We start from the raw sequence: 26121 nt of genomic DNA, 5'->3' as shown, positions 1-26121 counted from the left end.
GGCAGTGCTTAAGTGGATGATCTTTCTGTTAAATCCTTTCCTTTTGGAGAATAACCTGGCAGGCAGGTTTGGGGAAATTTCTGAGACTTGACATCTAGGTTTTTTCTTCTGTGGGGTTTGAGCTGTCTTCCTTCCTTAGCCCAAAGAATCTTTTTCCTGCACTTTCTTAAAGCAGTTTTGGGTCATTCCAGAAGGGTTCAGAGAAGGTGTCTTCCTGGTGGAAGACAGTTTTACTTCATTCAAGGTTTTTGCCTGGCACCACAGCTCCAGGACCTTTCTGCCTGATGATGATTTTTTTTTTTTTTTGAGACAGTCTTGCCCTGTCGCCCAGGCTGGAGTGCAGTAGTGTGATCTCAGCTCACTGCAACCTCCGCCTCCCAGGCTCAAGTGATTCTCCTGCCTCAGCCTCCCAAGTAGCTGGGACTACAGGGACGCACCACCATGCCTGGCTAATTTTTTAAAAAAATTTTGGTAGGCCGGGCGCAGTGGCTCATGCCTGTAATCCCAGCACTTTGGGAGGCTGAGGTGGGCGGATCACAAGGTCAGGAGTTTGAGACCAGCCTGACCAACATGGTGAAACCCTGTCTCTACTAAAAGTACAAAAATTAGCTGGGCGTGGTGACATGCGCCTGTAATCCCAGCTACTTGGGAGGCTGAGGCAGGAGAATCGCTTGAACCCAGGAGGTGGAGGTTGCAGTGAGTCGAGATCGTGCCACTGCGCTCCAGCCTGGAAGACAGAGCGAGACTCTCTCTCAAAAAAAAAAAAAAAAAAAATTGTAGAAACGGGGTTTTGCCATGTTGGCCAGGTTGGTCTTGATCTCTTGACCTCAAGTGATCCTCCCGCCTCTGCCTCCGGAAGTGCTGGGATTACAGGCGTGAGCCACTGACGATTCTCTTGAGCTGAAAAGCAAACATTTCATTTCACTTCTGCATATTGAGTGCATGGAGGAAGAAGTGATGTCCATTGTTAGGGGCTGGGAACGGTTTCCCTAAGGGGCTAGGCCTTGAAAGTTGGATGGGATTTGGGGGCACAGTCAGAGGGAGTAATATGAGCTTGCTTTAGGAGGGAGGATATGAACTTGGCATTAAATATGACTGAACCACCTATTGAAAAAGCAACTCCCTCTTCACTTCCCCTTGTAACAGGCTCAGTTTAGTGCTAAGATGTCTTTAGCATCTCTCATATTTCCTGATTCTCTTTTTAACAAAGACTGAGCAGACTCTAGATTTTAGCCGCATGCTCCCCACCCTAGAACTTTTAATTTAAGGTTTTCATTACATTCATTTTTGGAGTTGCCCTTGATTTAACAGCAGATTTTATTGGTTTTGTGTTTTTTGTTGGTTAACAATAAAAGTTTAGTTATTTACCTAAGTTACATAAGTTTAAAATAAAAACATGAACTAAGCAATATGTAAGAGGACTATGGATGTGTCGAAATGGCACAAGTGGTGTGAGGAAGGTCCAAGTTAGGGAAACACCGTTTCAGACAGAGGGGTGCTGTTAGGGTTTTGGAGCCTCAAAGTGGCTTGATTGAAATGGCATCTGAGAAGATGAATGATGCCGTGGTAGGATGAATCTGGCAGGAGTCTGTTGGCATCAGGAGGGTGGCATACAGGAAGGTAGTTGGGAGAGGCATCGTATTCCATTCTGAGCTGGAGGAGTATTACCTAGACCAGGGTCAAGAAACTTTTTCCATAGAGGGCCATTTAGTAAGTATTTTAGGTTTTGCAGGCCGCATGGTTCCTGTCATAGCTGCTCACCCTGCCGTTGTAGTGTGAAAGTAGACATAGATAATATGTAAACAAACGTGTGCCTTGTGCCAATGAAACTTGAATTGCAAAAACAGGCATTGAGCTGGCCATAGTTTGCTGACTCCTGACCTGAGGCACACTGGCCCAGGGAGTGGAAGGGAGAGGAGGCAAGAAGCCCCAGTAAATGGTGGGGGGAAGAGGGGGGCGAGCAGGGGGAGGAAGGGGCAGTTTTTCTGAATAAGGCAGATAAATGCCTATCTTCGTGGAGTTTCAAAGGAAGTCAGAAGAGCAGCTATTGGTGATACTGAAGAGCATGAACACCTTATCATGTTTTTCCCCAATGTCTGTAAGAGCATAGTTAGTATTTCCATTATACAGATGAGCAAGTTGAGGTCCAGAGACATTAACTCAGATGCCCAGGTAACTCAATGAGTAATTATGAGAGCCAAGACTTCAGTTCAGATCTCTCCAGACTCATGCTTTGAAAGGTGGGTGGGTGGGATTTGGGGGCACAGTCAGAGGGAGTAACGTGAGCTCACTTTAGGAAGGATACGAACTTGGCATTAAATATGACGGAAGCACCTACTGAGAAAGCAACTCCCTCTTCACTTCCCCTTCGAACAGGCTTAGTTTGATACTGAGATGTCTTTAGCATCTCTCATATTTCTTGATTCTCTTTTTAACAAGGACTGAGCTTTGCAACCATATGCAACCAATTGAGCTTTGCAATCCAGACTCATGCTTGCAACCATATGTCAGGTATACTTAGGTGGACACCTATAAAATTGTTGTAACTCAAAAATGGCTGAGTAATGGCACTTGTGCGTGGCTCTGCTAATAAGGCACTGATCTCTAGGAAACGTCAGCGTGCAGATGTGGCCTTTTTTTCCTCACCCAATTCTACTAACTGTCTTGTTTCTATACCTCCCTCCTTCCTACCTCCTTACCCAGCTTAATTTCCATGGAGTACTGTTGCTAATACAACCCAGTCTCCCAGGCCCTTCCTGTTTTCCTAGCATGTCCATTTGGCAAAACCTCACCTTGGATGAACCCCAGCTTTCCGCTTTTGATTTACCTGCACCTGAGCCTCAGTGCTTAACTGGAGAATGTTACACAAGAACACAAACTCCTCTCATCACACACGCAAATCTGGGTCACTAACCTCAGAAGCAGATATTCTCTTCTGCCGGATCGTCTTCCCAATATGTTTTTCTTTTATTAATACTTTTTGTCCCCAGAGACCTGTGTTCTTTTTTTATTCTACTTTTTTGAGACAGAGTCTTTGCTCTGTCGCCCAGGCTGGAGTGCAGTGGCATGATCTCGGCTCACTGCAACCTCTGCCTCCTGGGTTCAAGTGATTCTCCTGCCTCAGCCTCCCGAGTAGCTGGGATTATAGGTGTGCACCACCACACCCAGCTAATTTTGTATTTTTAGTAGAGATGGGGTTTCACCATGTTGGCCAGGCTGGTCTTGAACCCCTGACCTCAGGTGATTTCACGTGCCTTGGCCTCCCAAAGTGCTGGGATTACAAGCTTGAGCCACTACGCCCAGCCCGGCCCTTTTTTTTTTTTTTTTTTTTTTTGAGACAGAGTCTTCGCTCTGTTGTCCAGACTGGAGTGCAGTTGCGTGATCTTGGCTCACTACAACCTTTGCCTCCTCAATTCAGGTGATTCTCCTGCCTCAGCCTCCTGAGTAGCTGGGATTACAGGTGTGCATCACCATGCCCAACTAATTTTTTGTATTTTTAATAGAGACAAGGTTTCACTGTGTTGGCCAGGCTGGTCTTGAACTCCTGACCTCAAGTGATTCACCCACCTTGGCTTCCCAAAGTGCTGGATTACAGGCATGAGCCACCGTGCCTGGCCAGAGGCCTGTGTTGTGACCCAAGTTTTTTGTTTTTATCAGGATTCCATCGTCCATGATGGCTATTTCTCAAGTTCTCTGCTCTGTTTTGGACCTCCCTGCATCTCTCCCTGCGTCACCATCCCTGGGCGCTCAGGGCTGCTCCTCTGCCCTCTGCAGGGCCTCCGTGGTGTGCTCTGTCCTTCCCTCCTGCCGTTCAAAGGCATCTGCATCCTTTGTTGTAGCCAGATTTCTCACTCTGTATTGCTTTTCTTCCTAGGCACTTAAATATCCTCATCTATCTCCAAGTGCCTTCCTTGACACCTTGCATCTCCAATAGAACGTTCTGTGACAATGGCCATGTTCTTATATTTGCACTGTCCACTATGGTAGCCACTAGCCACGTGTCGCTGCTGAAGCCTTGAACTGTGGCTAGTGCGACTGAGGAATGGAATTTAACATTGTATCTTATTGTAGTGGTTACCATATTGAATGGCATAGCTTAAGACCTGTCCTGTCTCCTTCCTCAACCCAGTTAGTTAGATGTCTCTTCAAGGGTTGTTATTCTAGAGCTAGGGCCCACCTGTAGTCCCAGCTACTTGGAGAGGCTGAGTCAGGGGGGTTACTTGAGCCTAGGAGTTTTGAGACTGCAGTGAGTGCCTGTGAATAGCCACTGCACTCCAGCTGGGCAACAGAGTGAGACCTCATATTTAAAAAAAAAAAAAAAAGTTGTTTCATTTGTCTCCATTTCCCTTTCTTTACACACTCCGCTGCTGCTATGATACAGTTTCTATTCTGATACTCCACCATCCCCCTAAGCCATTAACAGTCATGGACATTTATTATTATTATTATTAGTATTTGAGATGGAGTCTTGCACTGTTGCCCAGGCTGGAGTGCAGTGGTGCAATCTTGGCTCACTGCAACCTCTGCTTCCCAGGTTCAAGTGATTCTCCTGCCTCAGCCTCCTGAGCAGCTGAGATTACAGGAATACACCACCACGCCCAGCTAATTTTTTGTATTTTATTAGAGATGGGGTTTCACCGTGTTGCCCAGGTTGGTCTCGAACTCCTGAGCTCAGGCAATCCACCTGCCTCGGCCTCCCAGACTGCTTGGATTACAGGCGTGAGCCACCATGCCTGGCCGACATTTTTAATTCTAAATGTTGTTTTGAAACCTAAGAGACAGGATCTTGCCTTGTTGCCGAGGCTGGCCTTGAACTTGGCCTGAGCTCAAGCCATTCTCCCACTTCAGCCTCTTGAGTAGCTGGGATCATAGGCATGTGCCACCGTGGTCAGCAGCAGAGACTTTTTTCTTAAAAGACGACCAGATTGGCTAGAATCATGGTATCTTCATGTCAGAAAGGGCCTCCTCTCCAGGGTTTGGATAAAGATTGAGGTGCACCCGGGGCTACACTAAAAGAGATTTAGCCCCGCATTTAGGTCAGGCGTGGTGGCTCATGCCTATAATCCCAACACCTTGAGAGGCCAAGGTGGGTGGATCATTTGAGGTCAGGAGTTCAAGACCAGCCTGACCAACATGGTGAAACCCCGTCTCTACTAAAAGTACAAAAAATTAGCTAGGCGTGGTGACACACCCCTGTAATCCCAGCTACTCAGGGGCCTGAGGCATGAGAATTACTTGAACCCAGGAGGCGGAGGTTACAGTGAGTTGAGACCGTGCCACTGCATTCCAGTCTGGGCGACAGAGTGAGACTGTGTCTCAAAAACAAGAGATTTAGTCCGACATTTAGGACTTGGAAAGAGGCTGGGCAGAGTCACATCAGCACAGTGAGAGCGCCATGGAGCCCATGGTCAGAAAGTGGCAGAAAAAGTGCGTTTTGCAGTCAGTGCCGCAGTGATTCTGAGAGTGTGAGTGAGAAGCTGCAGGGAGGCCGCAGAGGTCTGTGCGGGAATGCAGCCGTCAGTCTTCTCAGTCTTCCCGATTTTCTCACCAAAGCAGTTTGTGTTGACAGGTCACGTCAAAGCAAAAAGACTTCCTCAGTTTTGATCCCCTTCTAATTAATTCCTCATCCATGTCACTTTACTTCTGCCAGCACTTGCTTTCTGGTGACAGCGCACGTGACATATCTAGAAGGAACATGGGTTTTAAAAACGTCAAGGCTTCTGAGCTATTTATGTGCATCAGGTACTAGGACAGTACATCTAAGTTTAGTTGGAAGAGAGAGAATTTTAGTTAGGGGTATGAGCTCCCTTAGTGTGTGGGCCTCTCCTGTTCATCTTTTCGTTTTAAGCTTTTAGTTAGAGCTATATGCATAGAGTTGCAGAGAATAAAATAGTGCAGGGGAAAACTCTTCCTAGTTCCAGTTTACACGGCTCATTCTGGTCCTTCTGTTACCTCCTTACTAATAAATAATGTACTTGGCTATACCTCTATTTCTTGACTTCATCATTAGATATTATTTGTTGACTTCGAGCTTTAAAAGATGAGAGTTACTCTTCTCTTCCTCTTCCCACACTACTGAGGTTGCTATTTTATGTGCTACCTTGCTCCAGTGAAACACTTGCCTCCTTAGCTCTTTTGTTCTGTCTGCTACAGACAGTATCTCTTGACCCCTCTTTTGGCAGTCCATCTTCTCCTTACCTCTCCCACCCCTGTCATAGCCAGGCTTCCCACCTGTCCTGTGACTTTCCCCGTTGTCAAGGTTGAGAACATGTGCATTCTGTCCTATAACTGCAGTTAAGCCTCACTCTTGTCTGTTGGCTTAGTCTAAAAAGTTGCAGTGTGACAATTCTTTCTTGTATGATTATGACCATATCATTCATGGCAGAGTCACATAGTGTACTGTGATTATATTCCATTCTTTTATAGCCTTTTTCCTGGAGTTTCTATTTTTTCTCTTGATCTTACTTTCAATTGTTTTCCTATGAAGCTTCTCACGGTATCAGCTGTTTACGGAGACTCCTTTCATATCACTGTTTTTTGACTCTGATTTCAGAGGTGATTTGTTGGTGTGCTACCATCGTAGCTGAGAATTTAGCTTACTTGCCACCTCATCTGGAGCCCCTTCCTTAGTCCTCCTCATCACGTGTGCCTTCTCCATCCTCTCCTCCCTATTCTGTTATCACTGTGGGCAGTTGATGAGTTATTGCCTTAAATTGTCTGGCTTTCTCGGGTGCTGCCTTCAACCTTAGCACGTTTCTAGTGCCTGCCTCCGTTTCCCATGGTTGAATTAGGCTATTGGCAGAGCTAGTGGTTGAAAATTTGTGGCTTACAAAATGCTGAGTTGCTTTTATGTCATTGTATACCTTATTTCCTACCTGTAATGCTGTGCTGTGTCCAGTGATGCTGTTTGTGGTTTGATATGCATTTTTAAAGAGACTTAGTCTCCTGTGCTTGCATTAAAGTTGGACAATGGTGACATGAATGAAGGTGCCAACTGGTTCTAATAACAGTAGCCTGTTGATGAACAAAAATAGTAAGCACTTGGGGTTGTGCGGAATTCCAGCTCTCTGACAGACTCTGAGGCTACCTGTGCTATCTCTTCAGTTAGCAAAAGGTGTGACAAGCAACCTGCCTATGCCCCAACCACCACAGACCACCAGCCGCACCCCAACTACCCCGCCCAGAAGTGTAAGTATGAACCTGTCTTACGAAAGCTGCCGGGGCTTCTTCCTGGTATGCAGAAGGCTTGTTCTGTGTGTGTCCGTGTATGTGTTCCTTTGTGGGTGTGTCTTCTCCTGTTCTTTTGAGTTGTGGGTCTTCCTTTGCAACGTTTCTTCTTCGCTGTGCCTCTGGTCGCCATCACAAACTGCATTAGGAAATGAGAGCGAGCATGTGGCCTGGCTTCTTGATGGAGATCGTCCTCGCTCTTTTCATAAAGGGTCCTAGATGAACACCGATTCCCTCCTGTGGTGATTGGCTATGGCAGCCAGTGTCCCGTGTCCTCTCCATATGAGGAGTGAGGGCCTGCAGATCCCTCCATTAGCCAGCCTGGTTCTGGGAGAGAGATACTGAACTCAGCTTGGCCCTGGTCCCATTTCTTCCAGTACCCGCTGGTGGTCTCTGCCCTCACCAGAGCTGGAAGGACTTGATGTGGTTTGACCACATCACTGTAGGATTTTCTCCCAGATGGGGATGACCAGCTGCATCACTCCCCAGAGTCCTTCCGGAGAAATAAAAGCATAGGCATGGCGGCTAAGGGAAGAAGGCATAAGAAGGCAGATTGAGGATTGTTAAGAAGACTCCGCCCTTGCCCCCAGCTCTGCCTACCATAGTATTGCTCCCTTTTGGTCACTGATGCACATGACTAAGAAGAGTTCTCTCCTGAGTAACTACATGACTTTGGAGATCTTTGTCATTCTCTTCACTGCTTATCTTCCAGAACTCATGATTACCCACACATGCCTTTTTACCAGGCAGTAAGAAATGCAGCCCCCCTAGGTAGTAGCATGGTCCCCTCCTTGGCCCACTCCACTCTTGCCCTCAACCTCTTTCAACCAAACATTATCACCCACCTTAAGAAATTAAAAAATAATTCTGTCCCAGTCTGTCTGAACTTAGTACATGATCCAGGATGTGATGGGATCTTAGGGCTTGGCTGGAAGGTTTCTCCAGTCAGCCATCTAGCAGAGCTGCAGATCTGGGCTGGGCTGTTGGCTAAAGTGCTCTTCACAGACACCTCATTCGGCTCTTCCTTCAGCTTCTTCACTTATTTCTTACTCAGTCACTACTCAGCTCCTTGTCCATGTGTCCTTGAAGCCATCCTAGGTCTTATTCTGATTCTGAATTCTTCAGTCACCCATAAGCTTGTCCTTACCGGGAGTCAGTGGGTGTGTGTTCCCAGGTGGACTTAACCATTCTTCTCCTTTATGATCCTTTCCCTTGGGTGGACAAGTGTGATTTGGTTGTAAGGCCATTTTTCAAGTTGCCTATACATTGATAAAAGAAATCCCACTAACGGAAGTAGACTGCATGCCAAATTTCAGTGTCTTTCTCCAGGGGCCAAGGTTGGACCCAGAAGTGCATGGGGTGCTTGGTGTCGTTCAGTGATGTAGTAAGGATACACGGTTCCAGACACGGCACAAGAAATGCCTTCCTTGGCAGTTCAGCACCTTTTCTACAAATCTTTATTCTCTGTGAGCATGACACCCTACCGTTTTTTCAACCGGTTGTCGTTAAATCCTAAAAAATAAGTTGTTCTACCTTTCTGTTCTACAGACCCACAGATGCAGGGCAGTCAGCGGTGGCAGTGTTTGAACCATCAATTGGGAGGGGAAGGTGGTTTCCTGTGCAGGAGGGGCAGGTCAGATTGCAGGATAGTTGTGCTCAGGCGCAGGTGGGCAGGCACGCTAAACACATTGGTTTTCCCCCTCAGACCATTCCCGGAGTAATAAATCCAGTTGGAGCAGCAGTGATGAGAAGAGGGGATCGACACGTTCCGATCACAACACCAGTACCAGCACGAAGAGCCTCCTCCCGAAAGAGTCTCGGCTGGACACCTTCTGGGACTAGCAGTGAATCGGGACACAAACCACCCACCCCATTGGGAGAAAAACCCAGACGCCAGGAAAAGAAGAAACAACAAAGGCAGGAGAACAGCCACTTTCAGACTTGAAAATGACAAAACCCTCAGTTGAGCCTGAGCCCCCGGCGCGGGGGCTGCTACACTACAGGACACCCAGCATCGGCTTTGACTGCAGACTGTTCACCCACACGAGCCCTGTGCTTTTGGTGTAAATAATGTACAATTTGTGGATGTCATTGAATCTAGAGGACTTTCCCCTTTTTATATTTGTATTAACTTTAACTTATTAAAAAAAAAAAAAGAAAAAGAAAAACGATTTAAAAAAAAAAAAAAAAGCAACCAACCCCAACAACAAAAAAGAATGTTTTGGTATTGGAGAAGGGATGGTCAGTTAGCCTGTCTGTCACACGACGGAATGGATACTGGGCCCGGGGACCACTTTCATACTCACGTCCTCATCCTTGGATACCCAGGGGAGGGCGAACCGTTTTCGCTCGTGTGTCTGTACGCAGCATGTTGGGATCGGGAGTTTCGGCACAGACTATCCCATCAAGCCGTTGGCTCCTTTCAGCTACTACGTTACCACGTTCCTAAAACGCAAGCTCTCCGGACCAGACGGACACAGGGAGAAGCTAGTTTCTTTCATGTGATTGAAATGATGACTCTACTCCTAAAAGGGAAAAAACAATATCCTTGTTTACAGAAGAGAAACAAACAAGCCCCACTCAGCTCAGTCACAGGAGAGAACACAGAAAGTCTTAGGATCATGAACTCTGAAAAAAAGAGAAACCTTATCTTTGCTTTGTGGTTCCTTTAAACACACTCACACACACTTGGTCAGAGATGCTGTGCTTCTTGGAAGCAAGGACTCAAAGGCAAGGTGCACGCAGAGGACGTTTGAGTCTGGGATGAAGCATGTACGTATTATTTATATGATGGAATTTCACGTTTTTATGTAAGCATGAAACACAGGCAGTATGAGAGAAAGCAAGGCCCGTCATGCTGTCCGTACACTACGTATGCTGTAGAGCCATTTTGTATGTTGTGTAAAACAAAAAGCATTGATGAAAAAGCAAAAGGTGATGTATGTATATGAGAAAATTAATTGTACGATATCATTCCAGTACGTTTTGTTGTACATTTTAGTCTTGTTTACTTTCTCTTCATTGTTAAGAGGATGCGAACTGTACAGTTTCCAGCTAGTTACCCATATTAGAGAAGAAATAAGAGAGTATTAGAAGAAAACAGGAGAGAAAGAACATTTGTGAATTGCAGTTGTCAAAAAAAAAAAATAGCCTAGCTGGCCTTATTTGTGAAGCATAATTGCTTTTAGCATATGGAAGTATTTTTTCACATTTTCTTTGTATAAAATTTGTATTAAACTTAAATATCTTTTTGATGGTGGTGTTTCTTTGTGACTGAGCCAGTAGACTCACACTATATGCTTTTTTGGGTTTGCCCGTTCCTTCCCCCACCCCCCCAGTTTTTTCAGATTTCTTTACCTTTTTTTAATTAAACTGTTTTGGAAAAATGCCGTGGTCGTCCTCGAATTTGCAGTTTTCCATTTGGTCGGGATGGCTGTGTCAGGTTTGCACGACCAAACACAGAAGGGGCCGTGAGAGGTCATGAACACCCCCCACAGCCAGGTGGTGGGCACACTGGAGAGAATGGGCCCTAGTGGGTGCCCCCCACGCCAGTCCTCGTCAAACAGTTGGGAGAGGACGGAGTTGTCTTCTTGAAGCCCGTAGGGAGGCCGAGCTAACAGGCCTCGCGTGGGCAGCAAGGATCCCAGCCCCTCGCAGGTGCCCTGGTCCATGGCTCTGGGCCTGGCTGGAGGTGCACAGGGTATGAGTAGAATGAAGCCGGCTTGAAAGGCTGAGGTTTGGTTTCCTGGGCAGCAGTGTTCCTTCTCTGCAATCCAGTAACTCCCCAGAAAAGATCTCCACAAACCCCTTCCTGTGCCAAGGGCCAAGACATGACATGGCCGGCAGGGGAGGTTGGCCCGCGTGGGCATAAGTTCATTCCTGCCAATCAGCAAACACACATCGCGTCAGGCACTGTCCAGGCACTGAGGATCCCATGGTGCCATCAAGGAGTCGGGTCCCTGCCTTCATCAAACTTGCATCCTAATGGGGACAACAATCGTTCAGTTACTCAAGTATTACAGGGGACCTGTCATTAGCCATGCACAGTTTCAGTTACTGGGGACAGATGGTGAGCAGGGCACAGGAGCCCTGTCAGGGTGGGCCTCTCATTCTTCACAGGAAGACAGACTGTCTACAAGTTATTCTCATTTTTTGTTTTTTTTGAGACGGATTCTCGCCCCGTCACCCAGGCTGCAGTGCAGTGGCGCAATCTCAGCTCACTGCAACCTCCGCCTCCTGGGTTCAAGCAATTCTGGTGCCTCAGCCTCCCAAGTAGCTGGGGATTCAGATGTGCACCACCATGCCTGGCTCATTTTTTGGTATTTTTAGAGACGAGGGTTTCACATATTCCCCAGGCTGGGCTTGAACTCCTGACTTGAAGTGATCTGCCTGTCTCAGACTCCCAAAGTGCTGGGATTACAGGTGTAAGCCATGGCACCTGGACTCTCCTCTTTTTTTGGAGGGAGAGTCTCCATCACCCAGGCTGGAGTGCAGTGGTGTGATAGCTCACTGCAAACTCAGCCTCCCGGGTTGAAGCAATTCTCCTGCCTCAGCCTCCCGAGTAGCTGGGATTACAGGTGCCTACCACCCATGCCCAGCTAATTTTTGTATTTTTAGTAGAGATGGGGTTTTCGCCATGTTGGCCAGGCTGGTCTCGAACTCCTTGTCTCAGGTGATCCACCCACCTTGGCCTCCCAAGTCTTTTTTTTTTTTGAGACAGAGTTTTGCTCTTGTTGCCCAGGCTGGAGTGCAATGGCGCGATCTTGGCTCACTGCAACCTCCGCCTCCCGGGTTCAAGCAATTCTGCTTCAGCCTCCCGAGTAGTTGGGGTTACGGGCATCCACCACCACACCCAGCTAATTTTGTATTTTTAGTAGAGATGAGGTTTCTCCATGTTGGTCAGGCTGGTCTCGAACTCCCAACCCCAGGTGATCCGCCTGCCTCAGCCTCCCAAAGTGCTGGGATTACAGGTGTGAGCCACCGTGCCTAGCCTCCAAGTCATTTTTTTAAGTGAGAAGAATGTTAGCTTCCCGTTCCTGGGCATGTGTGTGCACCTTTCCTCTGTTGTCTCATTTCATCCTGAAGACCAGAGAAAGGAGGGGCCATGGCTACGAGGGGTCATCCATTGTCTTCTTTCAGCTCCTGCCTTTCTAGTCTCAACTGCACTCTCTGCTCCTTTGACCTGATACCCTCTTCTGTGGCTGGTACCTGATTCTTCAGATGTCACTCCTGAAATAGCCACCTGCCCACGGGCCCATCATGCCCTCAATATTTTCTTCATATCTCTGAGCAAAGGGTGTGGGGTTTTATTACTTCTCCTGTGTGTCCCAGTTGAATGTGAGCTGGGTGAGGGAGGTGCTTTCTCTGTTCCCTGCTGTGTCCCCAGGGCTTGGACACAATGAAGGTCATGCCACTCCTAAGTAGCGAGCAGCCAGCAGCTGGGCTCCTAAGTAGCGAGTAGCCAGCAGCGCAGCATTCAAATGCAGAGGCCACCTTGAGGTGTCCCACTGCACCCCCATCCAGCCTCTGCCGCAACCTCCCTTAGAAGCAAAGACATCTAGGGAAGTGGCTTGCTTACTCGAGGATAGAGAAATGGTTGCTTTTAGTTTTACCATTCATCTGACCAGGTAAAACAGCCCACATGACTCAAATCTGAAGATACGAAAGGGCCCATAGTATAAAGCCTCTCCCTCCCTGCTACCTCGGTCCCCTCCAATCCCCCTTCCCACATAGTCCTCAGGGAGAGTCTGCATTTACAAACAAATGCAGAGACATTTTTCTCTGCTCCTTTTCTTCTTTTTTAAGACGGAGTCTCGCTCTGTCGCCCAAGCTGGAGTGCAGTGGCGCAATCTCAGCTCACTACAACATCCACCTCCTGGATTCAAGCAATTTTTCTGCTTCAGCCTACCGAGTAGCTGGGATTAAGGGCACCCGCCACAATGCCCAGCTGAGTTTTGTATTTTTAGTAGAGACAGGGTTTCACCATGTTGACCAGGCTGGTCTTGAACTCCTGACCTCAGGTGATCTGCCCGCCTCGGTGTCCTAAAGTGCTGGGATTACAGGCATGAGCCACTGCTCCCGGCCCCCTTTTTCTACATAAATGATAGCATTTGATACACACTCTTCTGCCCTGTCCCCTTGCCCCGTTTTTTTTTTTTAAACTTAATCTGAAGCCTTGAGTATTGATCCATATCAGTGCAGTTCAAGAGCACCTCCATCCATTTTTAGGGGGTGTGATATCTGCTATGTGGACACGGGATAATGCATGTGGCCAGCCCCCAGCTGGTGGACATTGAGATTGTCCCCAAACTCTGGCCACGGCAAACGGCCCTGCAGTGAGCACCATTATAAAATGACTCCCCAGGCTCCTCTTAGCTGCCCAGTGGGGTGGTTATTCCACTCTTTGTGCAGCTTGGAAAACTGAGACTCAGGGGTTACATGCATTTGGAGGGGTCAGGTTTTTAGTTGCAAATAACAGAATCCACTCCACCTAATTAGAACACTCTCTAATCTGCTTACTTCTCAGGCCACACCAGTGGGTCAGTGAGAGGCCAGGTAGGAGGGGAGGGGCTTGAAGGTTCCAGTCTGGGTTGAGTGTTTTCAGAATGAGGAGAAGAAGAGGGAGATGCAGTGAGGTCTGGTGAACCTGGCAGAAGCTGCCAGTTCCTTGCTGGTTTCCTTTGGCAATGACCGGGGCAGGAACTGGCTCAGACCTTTTCATGCAGTCCAGCAAGCTCGCTATCTGGTGGCCATAGGCAAAACTGCAGCCTGTGGAGAGATCTGGCCCACTGGGGACAGCGAGCACGTGGGCCAAAACCCTTCATTCCGGAGACAGCTGTTCACTGAGCTCTCTGTATGAGTCAAGTCCTCAGTAGTGACACAGTAGTGAACAAAACAGGTTCGGTCTCTGTCCTTATTGATCTGACACTCTCACTGGGAAGCAATTTGATACCTGTATGCATGTAATATAATCCCAGGCGGGCTAGATGCGCTGAAGGTAAATAAAGCTAGGCGGGTAGGGAGATGATGTGATTGGGAGCCCTCTCTGAGGGGCTCACCGTTCAGTAGAACCTGAAGGGGGTTTCTTTCCGAGGGGACTGAGCCCAATTATTTTATTTATTTATTTTTTGAGACAAGGTCTTGCTCTGTCGCCCAGGCTTGAGTGCTATAGGGACGTCTCTGCTCACAGCAACTTCCGCCTCCCAGGCTCACCCCATCCTCCCGCCTCAGCCTCCTGAGCAGCTGGGACTACAGGCACACGCCACCATGCCCAACTAATTTTTAAATTTTTTTGCAGAGACGGGGTTTCACAATGTTGCCCAGGCTGGTCTTGAACTCGTGAGCTCAAGCGACTCACCCGCCTTGGCCTCCTAAAGTGCTGGGATTATAAGTGTGAGCCAGTGTGCCTGTCTATTTTATTATTTTATTTTATTTTGAGACAGAGTCTCACTCTGTTGCCCAGGCTGGAGTGCAGTGGCACGATTTTGGCTCACTGCAACTTCCGCCTCCCGGGTTCAAGCAATTTCTGGCTAATTTTTGTATTTTTTGTAGAGACGGGGTTTCACCATGTTGGCCTGGCTGGTCTCAAACTCCTGACCTCAACGATCCACCTGCCTTGGCCTCCCAAAGTGTTAGTATTACAGGCATGAGTCACCGCGCCCGGCCGACCGTCCATTTTAAACTATACAGTCGAGTGGCGATAATCAGAGTTGAGTTTTCCAAAGGTCAGCATTTAGCTGCCACCTTCATATCAGGGTACATCAGGACCCCATCTATATTCTTATTTATTTTCTTTAGTCTAGAGAAGCAAAGGTCACCTATATTCCTCCAAGTGTCGCTGATGTGGGCCTGCCCCACGTGGGGCTCTGTGCTGAGGCTTTCCATGCTGTAATCCTTCGGGTTTTGTAATAACTCCCTACATGGAGCAGGCCCTCGTAACAGGCCCATTCTCCCAGTGAGGCAGCTGAGGTTCAGAGAGAAAAAAGTGACTTGCTCAAGATCACACAAAAGGTCACTGCAGAGCCGGGACTCAAACCAGTCTGCTTACTTCCCAAGCCAGTTCAGTGAATCATCAGGCAACACTGCCCCAGTCACAACTAGCCCTGTGTGTGTGTGTGACACCGTGGTGAGTTTACAAAATGACTCCCCAGGCTTCTCTTAGCTGCCCTGGGGTGGTTATTCCACTCTGTGCAGCTCGGGAAACGGACACTTGGGGGATACATGAATTGGGAGGGGTCAGGTTTTTAGTTGCAAATAACAGAATGCACTCCAGCTAATTTGAGCAGAAAAGGCATTTGTTAAAGGATATTGAGTGGCTCACAAATCCCTGGGAAGGCCAGAGAGATGGATTAGGAGATTGCACAGCAACCAACAATGTCCAGATTACATTGCAGGACCTTTGTGTTAAGACTTCCCACATTGGCCAGGCATGGTGGCTAACGCATGTAATCCCAGCACTTTGGGAAGCTGAGGCGGGCAGATCACCTGAAGTCAGGAGTTTGAGACCAGCCTGGCCAACATGGCGAAACCCTGTCTCTATTACAAATACAAAAATTAGCAGGGGCATGGTGGTGTACGCCTGTAGTCCCAGCTACTCGGGAGGCTGAGGTAGGAGAATCACTTGAACCCAGGAAGTGGAAGCTGCAGTGAGCTTTGACTGCACCACTGCACTCCATCCTGGGTGACAGAGCAAGACTCCGTCTGAAAAAAAAAAAAAAAAGACTTCCCACATCACTGCCCCATTGGGTTCAAACACTGCGACTTTCTCTAGTGACGCTGGGCACGACCCTTCTGCCTCCTTGCCAGATTGGATTCCATGCATCAGAATCCACTTCCATTGCTTTCACATGTGGATGTATCTGGATTGGTTGAGCCCAGGTCCCATGTGGGTGCATCTGATTGACTGAACCTAAGCACCATTTAGGTGTTGTATTAGTCCATTTTCACACTGCTATAAAGAACTACCTGAGACTGGGTAATTTATAAAGAAAAGAGGTTTAACTGACTCACACTTCTGCAGGGCTGGGGAAGCCTCAGGAAACTTAGAATCATGGCAGAAGGCAAAGGGGAAGCAAAGCATGTCTTACATGGTGGCAGGAGAGGGAGTTCAAAGGGGGAAGTGCCTTACTTTTAAGCATCAGATCTTGTGAGAACTCACTATCACGAGAACGGCAAGGGGGAGATCCACCCTCACAGTTCAATCACCTCCCACCAGGCACCTCCTCTGACACATGGGGCTTACAATTCGAGATGAGATTTGGGTGGGGACACAGAGCCAAACCATATCAGGGGTATTTGATTGCTGAGCCTGGGTGCCACCTGGGTGTATGTGATTGGCTGAGCCTAGGCCACATAGCTAACCTTCTAACTGCAAAGGAGGCTGGGAAAGTGAGATTCAAGCCTCTTCTGGTGCAGACTCATAAGTTGGGAAAGTGTTCAAACAAAAGGTCTTGTGTGGACAAAACGATGACAGTACCCACTGCAGAACTGTCCAAGGTCTCTGTCAGCCTGGTCAGTTGTAGAGAGCAGAATTCACCCAACCAGTTTAAGCACAAGGCATTAGTAAGTGTACTGGTCAGTTCCGTGCCAACCTGGCTAGGCTGGAACCACATTTCCCAGAATCCTGGCTCTCGAGTGGTTCCCAGTTAGAGTTGACCAAAAGAGGAGCTGTGTGAGATTTCCAAGGCTGTAAGGAAGCCACAGCCTCTACTGTTGCAAGGTCGCTGTAGTTAGATGTGGGACAGACAACTGCAGTGGCGCCAGCAGGCTCCAGCTTGCCCTTGCTCTCCTCCACTCTGCGTCCAGGTCATCTTCCTGACTCCTGCATGTCAGCACCTGGCCTGTCACCAGCCGCTGGACTGCAGAGGCCACAGATCCCCATTGAGTCCTCTGAACTTGCCCCACAGCTTCTCAGATCACCTTCTTGGTGACTCCAGATCTCTCCTCAGACCCCTGCTTCCCCAGCTCCTCCCACAATTATGTAAGATCTAATACCCATCATCTGTGCATGACTGCTCCCAAACTCATGGGCTCAATCTCACTGATGCATTAACAGTATTTACAAGCCAGGCACGGTGGCTCCTGCCTATAATCCCAGCACGTTGGGAAGCTGAGGCAGGCGGATCACTTGAGGTCAGAAGTTCAAGACCAACCTGGCCAACATGGTGAAAGCCCATCTCTACTAAAATACAAAAATTAGCTGGGCGTGGTGGCAGGCACCTGTAATCCCAGCTACTTGGGAGGCTGAGGCAGGAGAATCGCTTGAACCCAGGAGACAGAGGTTTCAGTGAACCGAGATCATGCCATGGCACTCCAGCCTGGGCGACAGAGCTAGACTCCGTCTCAAAAAACAAACAAACACAAAACAAAAGAACAAAAACAAACAAAACAACAAAAACAAACAAACCCCCAAAACAGTATTTCCGGACTCACATGGAGGGCTGAAGAAAGCCATGAGGTCTGAGCTTCCAGGAAGCCACCGAAGCCACCGTGCAGGACTGGGCTGCAAAGAAACAGATGCACCGAGGCCACAACCACGCTGGCCCTAGGCTGGTCCACACCGCCACGTGCAGTCACTTTTCTCCCCACTTAATCCGTACCAAATGCAGCTGATGGGTGGAACCTTGAATATATCAGACGCCTGGCTGAATAGAGCCTGAGGAATAAGTTGTTTTTCTTTTTTTTGAGACAAGAGTCTCATTCTGTTACCCAGGCTGGAGTGCAGTGGCGTGATCTCGGCTCACTGCAACCTCCGCCTCCCGGGTTCAAGCGATTCCCGTGCCTCAGCCTCCTGAGTAGCTGGGATTATAGGCGTGTGCCATCATGCTCAGCTGATTTTGGTAATTGCAGTAAAGACAGGTTTTCACCTTATAGGCCAGGCTGATCTAGAACTCCTGGCCTTAAGTGATCCTCCCATCTTGGCCTCCTAAAGTAATGTGGTTACAGGTGTGAGCCACTGGGCCCAGCCGGTTTTTAGTTTAGTTCAGAAAACCACCCCAGAAGAATGATCAGATGTTGAACAAGCCAGTTCTCATACATGTGACCAGGGATCAAACCCGTGGCTTTGCCACCTGGTCTAGGGCTCTAATCTGCCCAGGGCACTCTTTTCAGATTGTGGTGTTAATGGAAAACTGTGGCCTTCCTGGTCCCACAGATAGCCTAAGCCTGGGCCAGTTGGGTACTACAAGCTTTATTAAGACAGCTGAGTACTGACCTTGGTTCACTTTGATGAACCCGAGAGGGAAACTTCATTTACATACACAGCACCTCCTGTGCTCCAGGCAATTTCTGCACATTGCATCCTAATGACCTGCATTTTGCAGCAAAGGACATCAGGTCCAGAGGGATTGAGGCTACACAGCTTGTGCGTAGCCGAAGCTGGACTTGAACCCAGTCTAATGACACAAATAATGCCTGCTCTTTTTTTTTTTTTTTTTTTTGAGACAGAGTTTCGCTCTTGTTGTCCAGGCTGGAGTGCAGTGGCGCAACTTTGGCTCACCACAACCTCTGCCTTCCGGGTTGAAGCGATTCTCCTGCCTCAGCCTCCCAAGTAGCTGGGATTATAGGCATGAGCCACCATGCCTGGCTAATTTTTGCATTTTTAGTAGAGACGGGGTTTCACCATGTTAGCCAGGCTGGTCTCCAACTCCTGACCTTGTGATCCACCCGCCTCGGCCTCCCAAAGTGCTGGGATTACAGGCGTGAGCCACCGCGCCCCGCCCAAAAAATGCCTGCTCTTAACCATGACTATATCTTTGTCATCATTGGAGAAACTTTTGTATAAAAGCCACAAGTTAATTATTAACTAGGGACTTACTCTTCACTGGGCTGTGTTTCAGGTGCTGGGGACACAACTGTGGACAAAAGAGACAAGACGTAGACATAGGGTAGTGAGTTCAGCTGGGGTTTGCTCCCAGGACCCAGGCAGGGGATATAAGCTAGGGAAACAGGCTGGGGTAACACTGACATAGATATGCTTTCTTTGTATAGTAAACATGTTAGAGGCCAGGCGCGGTGACTCACGCCTGTAATCCTAGCACTTTAGGAGGCCGAGGTGGATGGATCACCTGAGGTCAGAAGTTCGAGACCAGCCTGGCCAACATGGTGAAACCCCCGTCTTGTTGCACGGGAGCGAGTTAGAGAAAACACCACACTTTTGAGACGAATTAAGTCTGTTTATTTAGCCGGCGGCTAAGAGATGGCTTACGCTTAAAGTTCTTTCGGCCTTGAAGAAGGGGCTAGATTTTCTTTTATACTTTGGTTTAGAAAGGGGGGGGGTCTAGTTAAAACAATTTTACAGAAATAAAGTAGGCAAAAAAGTTAAAAGGATAAATGGTTACAGGAAAGTAAACAGTTCTAGGTGCAGAGGCTTTAAGATTATTACAAGGTGATAGACGCGGGGCTTTTTTTGGGCGTTATCAATCAGGCGAATTCCTGGGAACTGCGGATATTGCTCGCCACATTATCTTATCAGTGAATTGCATTCTTGGATGTGCTGGGAGTCAGTTTGCACAAGTTAAGTCCTTGAGGAAGGCGCTGCCAGTGAAAGAGCCAAGATGGAGTCTGTCTGGCTCTCTTAGCTAAGGGAGAGTCAATTAAGGTGGAACTAAGGCTAGGTGATTAAAGGAAAGAGGGAGAGTCTAAAAACAAGGTTAGTAAAAACAAGCTTAGGCATTACAGTCTCTACTAAAAATACAAAAATTAGCCGGGCGTGGTGGCGAGTGCCTGTAATTCCAGCTACTTGAGAGGCTGAGGCAGGAAAATTGTTTGAACCTGGGAGGCGGAGGTTGCAGTGAGCCGAGATCGCGCCACTTCACTACAGCCTGGGAGAAAGAACGAAGCTTCGTCTCAAAAAACCAAAAACCAAACAACAACAATAACAACAAAAACACGTGTTTGAATAATCTGTGCATTTTTTTAATCTTTTTTTTTTTTTTTGAGACAGGGTCTCCCTCTGTTGCCCAGGCTGGAGTGCAGTGACACAATCATAGCTCACTGCAAAGTGGCACAATCATAGCTCACTACAACCTCGACCTCCTGGGCTCAAGCCATCCTCCTGCCTCAGCCTCCCGAGTGGCTGGGACCACAAGTGCACACCACTACGCCCAGTTACTTATTTATTTTTGTAGAGATGGGGGTCTCACTATATTGCCCGGCCTGGTCTCAAACTCCTGGGCTCAAATGATTCTCCCACCTCAGTCTCCCGAAGCACTGTGATTGCAGGTGTGAGCCACCGTGTTCCACCATTGCTTTTCTTGAAATATGTAAGCCCTTTGGTTTAGTTTTTATTTTTCCACTTTTGACAGAAAAAATATTTCTCCACTATGAGAATAACAGCTGGCTGGTGTGTGGATCAATGGCAACCGATGCTTGACTTCGGGGTGTCAGGGAGAAAACACAGCATGGTGGCCGGGCGCGGTGGCTCGCGCCTGTAATCCCAGCACTTTGGGAGGCTGAGGCATGTGGATCACCTGAGGTTAGGAGTTCGAGACCAGCTTGACCAACATGGTGAAACTCCATCTCTAATAAAAATACAAAAAATCAGCCAGGTGTGGTGGTGCCTGTCTGTAATCCCAGCTACTCGGGAGGCTGAAACAGGAGAATTGCTTGAACCTAGGAGTTGGAGGTTGTAGTGAGCCAAGCTCGTGCCACCGCACTCCAGTCTTGGCAACAGAGCGAGACTCTGTCTCAAAAAAAAGAAAAAAAAATTAAAAAAACAAAAAACACAGCATGGTGAGGACTGTGGCGAACGGGTCAACCTGGAGAGCCCCCGAGTCAGCTCACAGGGGTGGCCATGGGATGGCTTTAGCTGCTCATGTGCAAATGCAGGCCAAGGGATCCACTTGAATTTTAGAGAAGTTGAAAATTTACATTTTGAGTGAAATCACCCAAGTTTTATATAATCGGGTCAAAGTATGAAAAAAATCATGTGAAGAGTAATAAAATGTATCTGTGGACCAGAGTTTGCAACCTGAGTCAGAGAGTGCAGGATCGGAGTCTCAGCTCTGCCCGCCTCCAGCTGTGAATCACAGGCAAGCCACGACACCTCCTGAGTCTCAGTTTCACCCTCTGTTAAATGGGGCTTATAAAAACAATCACTTGGATGAGCTTATGTGCCAATCCTTGTTCTAAACCAGTGGTTTCCAATCCATGGGTTGTGAAATTGATTTTGCAGATTGGAACCTGCATCACTGAAAAACAGCAGGATGGAAAAATTATAGAATGTGTCACAGTTGTTTGGTAAGCATTGCTTTGTGAAACTGAGTTATACACACATACATGATATACATACACTCCTATTTATACACACACATATGTATGTGCTGTACTGGGTCTTGATGTAATATGTAATATGCATTTCTTATTACCCCACAAGGGGGCCAGTAGACTTCAGGGGCTGAGGGAGAGGTGGGTAGGTCTCTGTGGGCCCAGATCCCCATGGAGTTGGGTAGGGGATGCAAGGGCAAAGAGGCTCCCCCGTCACCTAGAGCTGGAGTTTACCAAACACCAAATACTTGGCTGGGTGCTGTGGCTCACACCTGTAATCCCAGAACTTTGGGAGGCTGAGGCGGGAGGATCACTTGAGGCCAGGAGTTCAAGACCAGCCTGGCCAACATGGCGAAGCCCCATCTCTACTAAAAATACAAAAATTAGCCAGGTGTGGTGGCATGCGTCTGTAGTCCCAGCTACTCGGGAGGCTGAGGCACAAGAATCGCTTGAACCCGGGAGGCGGAGATTACAGTGAGACGAGATCATGTCACTGCACTCCAGCCTGGGCGACAGAGCGAGACTCTGTCTCAAAATAAAACCAAAACCCCAAACAAATACCAAATACTTAATGGTTGAATTTATTTTTTTTTCTTTTTTGAGATGGAGTCTCGCTCTGTCGCCCAGGCTGGAGTGAAGTGGCGTGATCTCGACTCACTGCAATCTCCGCCTCTTGGGTTCAGGCAATTCTCTTGCCTCAGCCTCCCGAGTAGCCGGGATTACAGGCATGCACCACCATGCCCAGCTAATTTTTTTTGTATTTTTAGTAGAGACGGGGTTTCACCATGTTGGCCAGGCTGGTCTCGAACTGATGACCTCAAGTGATCCACCTGCTTCAGCCTTTTTTTGAGATTTTTGATACATGGTCTTGCCTTTCTCTGTCACCTAGGCTGGAGGGCAGTGATGTGATTGTGACTGCAGCCTCAAACTTCTGGGGCTCAAGCGATCCTCCCGATTCAGCCTCCCAAAATGCTGGGAATTATAGGTGTAAGCCACTGCACACGGCCAAATGGTTGAATTATAAAATCAGCATTTGGCTAGAGCCGGATTATCATCACTCTCAGATGAACTTCAGGATATAAAAATAAATCCGGCTGGGCTCGGTGGCTCATGCCTGTAATCCCAGCACTTTGGGAGGCTGAGGTGGGTGAATTGCTTGAGCCCAGGAGTTTGAGACCAGCCTGGTCAACATGGCAAAATCTCCACAAAAAATACAAAAAATTCAGCCAGGTGTGGTGGTGCACGGCTGTAGTCCCAGCTACTCAGGAGGCTGAGGTAGGAGGATCACTTGAGCCTGGGAGGTCGAGGAAGCTGCGGTCGCACCACTTGACTCCAGCCTGGGCAACAAAGTGAGACCCTATCTCAAACCAACCAACCAACCAACCTACCAACCTAACATTTCTCCCAGACAATTGAAGCCATTGTTACAATTACATTATTAAACACTGGCGCGGCCCATGTCTAAAGCTGGGCAGAGTGCAGGAACAGCGTTTCCCAGCCCTGTAGGTGGCTGGGCCACTCTCGAGGCCACCACAGCGTCCATCTGCCTCCTGCATAGACATTGTGTCAACCGAGGCCACCACTATGGTCACTGTAGAAGGTCACCTTACCATGACCTCTTGGGCCTAACATATCGTCGACGGTGCTGCAGTATCATCAGAGCAATCCCTGTAGCCCGGCGCAGCCCAAAGCAGACGCCTTGAGAATCCTTTCTCGGAAGGCTTGCGTTATTGCTCTTTCCGGGTCCCACTTCAAGTGGCACCTGCGGGCGGCTGGGTCAGCTGTGGGGCCGCACTGCCCCCTGGTGGTTGCAGATGAGCACAGCTTCTCGGGCGCTGAGCTTGCATCATGGGGCTCAAAATATTAGGGAAAAATGGTCCATCGTTTTTAACGCGAATTCTCCTCTTGCCAGAATGAACCACAGGTCCGTGCCACAACATGGGTACACCTCAAAAACATTCTGAGTCAAAGAAGCCAGGCACCAAAGATTACGCTCTGAGTCCATTTATATGAAGTTCTAGATCTGGCCAAACTACCTTAGCGACAGGAACCGGAACAGTCATGGAATGCGGATATAGACTGGGCAGGGGTGCGAGGGAGCCAGCCTTTTGCCTGGAAACGTTTTCCATCTTGATCTGGGTGCTGTAATTATCCCAGCATAATCATACGTAAAAATACTTGAGATTTGAGATTTGTGCAATAGACTTTATATTAATTATAAAATAAAAAAAATTTAAAATGTATGAAGGAATCCCTTGCCCAGACGCTTCATCCTGCCCCTTCTAGCCATTCTTTCCATGGCAGCCAGGGTGATTTTGAGAATATCAATCATATCACAGCACCCTCCTGTTTAAAACCTGATTGGTTTTAAGCACCCTGCTTAAAACCTTCTGATATCTTGTCACTGGATTTAGAATACAATTTAAAATCCAAAATGAATAGGGTCCCACGACATCTGGCCGGGCCTTGCCCTTGCGCCCTATCATGCTCGCACCCTCTGACCTTGGCCTTGGCCTCCAGCCACACCGGCTTCCTTTCCTTCCTTTGTCCTGCCTGGAACCGTGTATTTCCTGCACCTCTCCCTGGAATGCTGTCCCTGGCCTTTCTTGTTGTACTGGTCTGAGTTCAAGTGTCACCTCCTTAGAGGTGACCAGCGAGTCCACAGCAAATGCTTTTCGGGGGAGTCTGCACTGCATCAGCCCAATGCTTGCTTCCGGACTCCAGGCACTGTCTGAAGTGACTCTGTACTGGGGAAGAAAGCAGCCTCCTTCTTTGAGCTAACAGTACCATGCTGTGTGCCCTAAAAGTTAAAATCTCAGCCAGCAAAAAGATCCTCAATATTTTACCTCCTGGGCAAGCACCAAGACCCCTTTATGGCCCCTGAATGTTCCCTGGAGAGATACTGCCATCTCTGTCAAGAAGTTCTTCTTGGGACCCCTTTCAACAGGTCTTCTTGAAGTTGGCTAAAGTAGGCCTCCAAGAGCCACCTTCCCCTCCCTGCGGAGGCTCATACGACCCCTCCTCTCCTGCTGACCTCAAGGCAGATCTTGGAAGGGGACACAGATTGTGGCTCAAGCCTGAATGAAGCCTGTACCTGGGGTGTGTGCTGGTTCCCTGCTCCTGGCTGGCGAAAACCTTTTTTCTTGTGGGACCCAGCTGACTGGCGGCAAAGGCTACCTCCCAGTGTCAATAGGGCCGCTTTCAGTCCGGTTCCCTGCACTTTGTGACGGTCGGGACCTCATCTGCTCATTTTCACCTCTGCATCCAGAAGTTGAAACGAGCACCTGGTAAATAACAGACCTGTGCATAACCCGGATCTATTTCCAAAACACATCGCTAAGTGAAAAAAAGCCAATGGCACATGCCACCCTTTGTGTAACAATGAAGAAGAAATAAGAAATATATTGTCATATTTCCATAAAGAAACTTTAAAAGGATACAAAAGAAATGAAGGGGCCGGGTGCGGTGGCTCACACCTGTAATCCCAGCACTTTGGGAGGCTGAGGCGGGTGGATCACCTGAGGTCAGGAGTTCGAGACTACCCTGGCCAACATAGTGAAACCCCATCTCTACTAAAAATATGAAAATTAGCTGAGCGTGGTAGCTCACACCTGTAGTCCCAGCTACTTGGGAGGCTTGAGGCATGAGAATCACTTGAACCCGGGAGGCAGAAGTTGCAGTGAGCTGAGATCATGCCACTGCACTCCAGCCTGGGCAACAGAGTGAGACTTGGTCTCAAAAGAAATTAAGGAATGCAGCTGCTTACAGGAGGCTGATGAAATCAGACATATGAGTGACAGGTGGGAGAGTGCCTTCATCACACTGAAAATTGTGAATGGGTGAGCTGTAGGAGCATGGATGAGTGGATATATTCCAGCCTCTTTGAAACTTGTTAACAGGATTTTCCCAGGGGTCCCTGGCTCTCAGACCACTGAGACCACCTTGTGTTGGACAATGGGGCCTCAGAGAAGGGTCTTTCTTGCTACATCCCACATGGCCACAGCCTTTACCCAATGCTGTGGGGCACACAGAGAAAGGGCTAGTGATGCTGTTTGGGGGAAACCAAGGCTGGAAACAAGCTCCTGAGGGCCACAGGTTATTGACAGAGAAGTCTCCAAAACTGACATCTGACCTTTACGATGCTCCTATAGGGCCAGGCAAGATGGCACATGCCTGTAATCCCGGCACTTTGGGAGGCTGAGGCGGGAAGATCACTTGAGGCCAGGGGTTTGAGACCAGCCTGGGCAACATAGTGAGACCCTGTTTCTACAAAAATAAAAAATTAAAAAAATTTAAAAAAAGGTGCTCTTATAGGTAATCCATTCATCGTTTTCAATATATGAGCTTCATCAGTACCGTGAGTCATGAAACTCTCAGATTTTTGTCCAACTAATGTGGACAATGAACGTATTTGCATTTCTCTTGTTATAGGTGAGGTTGAACTTTTTTCTTTTCTTTTTTTGAGACAGGGTCTCGCTTTGTCACCCAGGCTGGTGTGCAGTGGCATGATCACAGCTCACTGCAGCCTTGACCTCCTGGGCTCAAGTGATTCTCCCACCTCAGCCTCCCTGGTAGCTTGGGCTATAAGTGCATGCTGTCACACCTGGCTAATTTTTTAAATTATTTGTG

At 48.2% G+C, this 26121-nt stretch overlaps 1 protein-coding gene across 19 annotated transcripts in view, besides 4 other annotated features; it reads left to right on the top strand.

Moving 5' to 3' along the window:
* The window catches only part of ZMYND8 (zinc finger MYND-type containing 8), a 147486-nt gene extending 136870 nt beyond the window's left edge, over positions 1-10616 (top strand). For 10 of the 19 annotated variants that reach the window (NM_001281781.3, NM_001281784.3, NM_001281771.3 and 7 more), the window contains one exon: positions 8933-10616. In NM_001281781.3, coding sequence (NP_001268710.1) covers positions 8933-9069 — 137 coding nt within the window. In that variant the 3' untranslated portion in view covers positions 9070-10616. Of the gene's footprint in view, positions 1-7104; positions 7189-8932 lie in introns of all 19 variants that reach the window. The other 9 variants (NM_001281782.3, NM_001281777.3, NM_001281776.3 and 6 more) reach the window with 1 other exon arrangement.
* Positions 10385-11008: an enhancer, noted in NCBI's record as "H3K27ac-H3K4me1 hESC enhancer chr20:45837467-45838090 (GRCh37/hg19 assembly coordinates)". NCBI's record gives its function as "activates a minimal SCP1, AML or CMV promoter by ChIP-STARR-seq in naive H9 embryonic stem cells {active_cell/tissue: H9 hESC(naive)}" and the evidence as "EXISTENCE:reporter gene assay evidence [ECO:0000049][PMID:30033119]".
* Positions 11009-11634: an enhancer, noted in NCBI's record as "H3K27ac-H3K4me1 hESC enhancer chr20:45836841-45837466 (GRCh37/hg19 assembly coordinates)". NCBI's record gives its function as "activates a minimal SCP1, AML or CMV promoter by ChIP-STARR-seq in naive H9 embryonic stem cells {active_cell/tissue: H9 hESC(naive)}" and the evidence as "EXISTENCE:reporter gene assay evidence [ECO:0000049][PMID:30033119]".
* Positions 12451-12745: a silencer, noted in NCBI's record as "tiled region #5760; K562 Repressive DNase matched - State 18:Pol2". NCBI's record gives its function as "represses a minimal TATA promoter and a strong SV40 promoter by Sharpr-MPRA in K562 cells {active_cell/tissue: K562}" and the evidence as "EXISTENCE:reporter gene assay evidence [ECO:0000049][PMID:27701403]".
* Positions 18137-18186: an enhancer, noted in NCBI's record as "active region_17980". NCBI's record gives its function as "activates an Ori minimal core promoter by ATAC-STARR-seq in GM12878 lymphoblastoid cells {active_cell/tissue: GM12878}" and the evidence as "EXISTENCE:reporter gene assay evidence [ECO:0000049][PMID:35858748]".

The sequence above is a fragment of the Homo sapiens genome, chromosome 20, assembly GCF_000001405.40.
Source record: "Homo sapiens chromosome 20, GRCh38.p14 Primary Assembly".
In the NCBI taxonomy this organism is placed as follows: Eukaryota; Metazoa; Chordata; class Mammalia; order Primates; family Hominidae; genus Homo; species Homo sapiens.
Note: the sequence above shows the minus strand (reverse complement) of the source record. Positions and strands in the feature narration are given on the sequence as shown.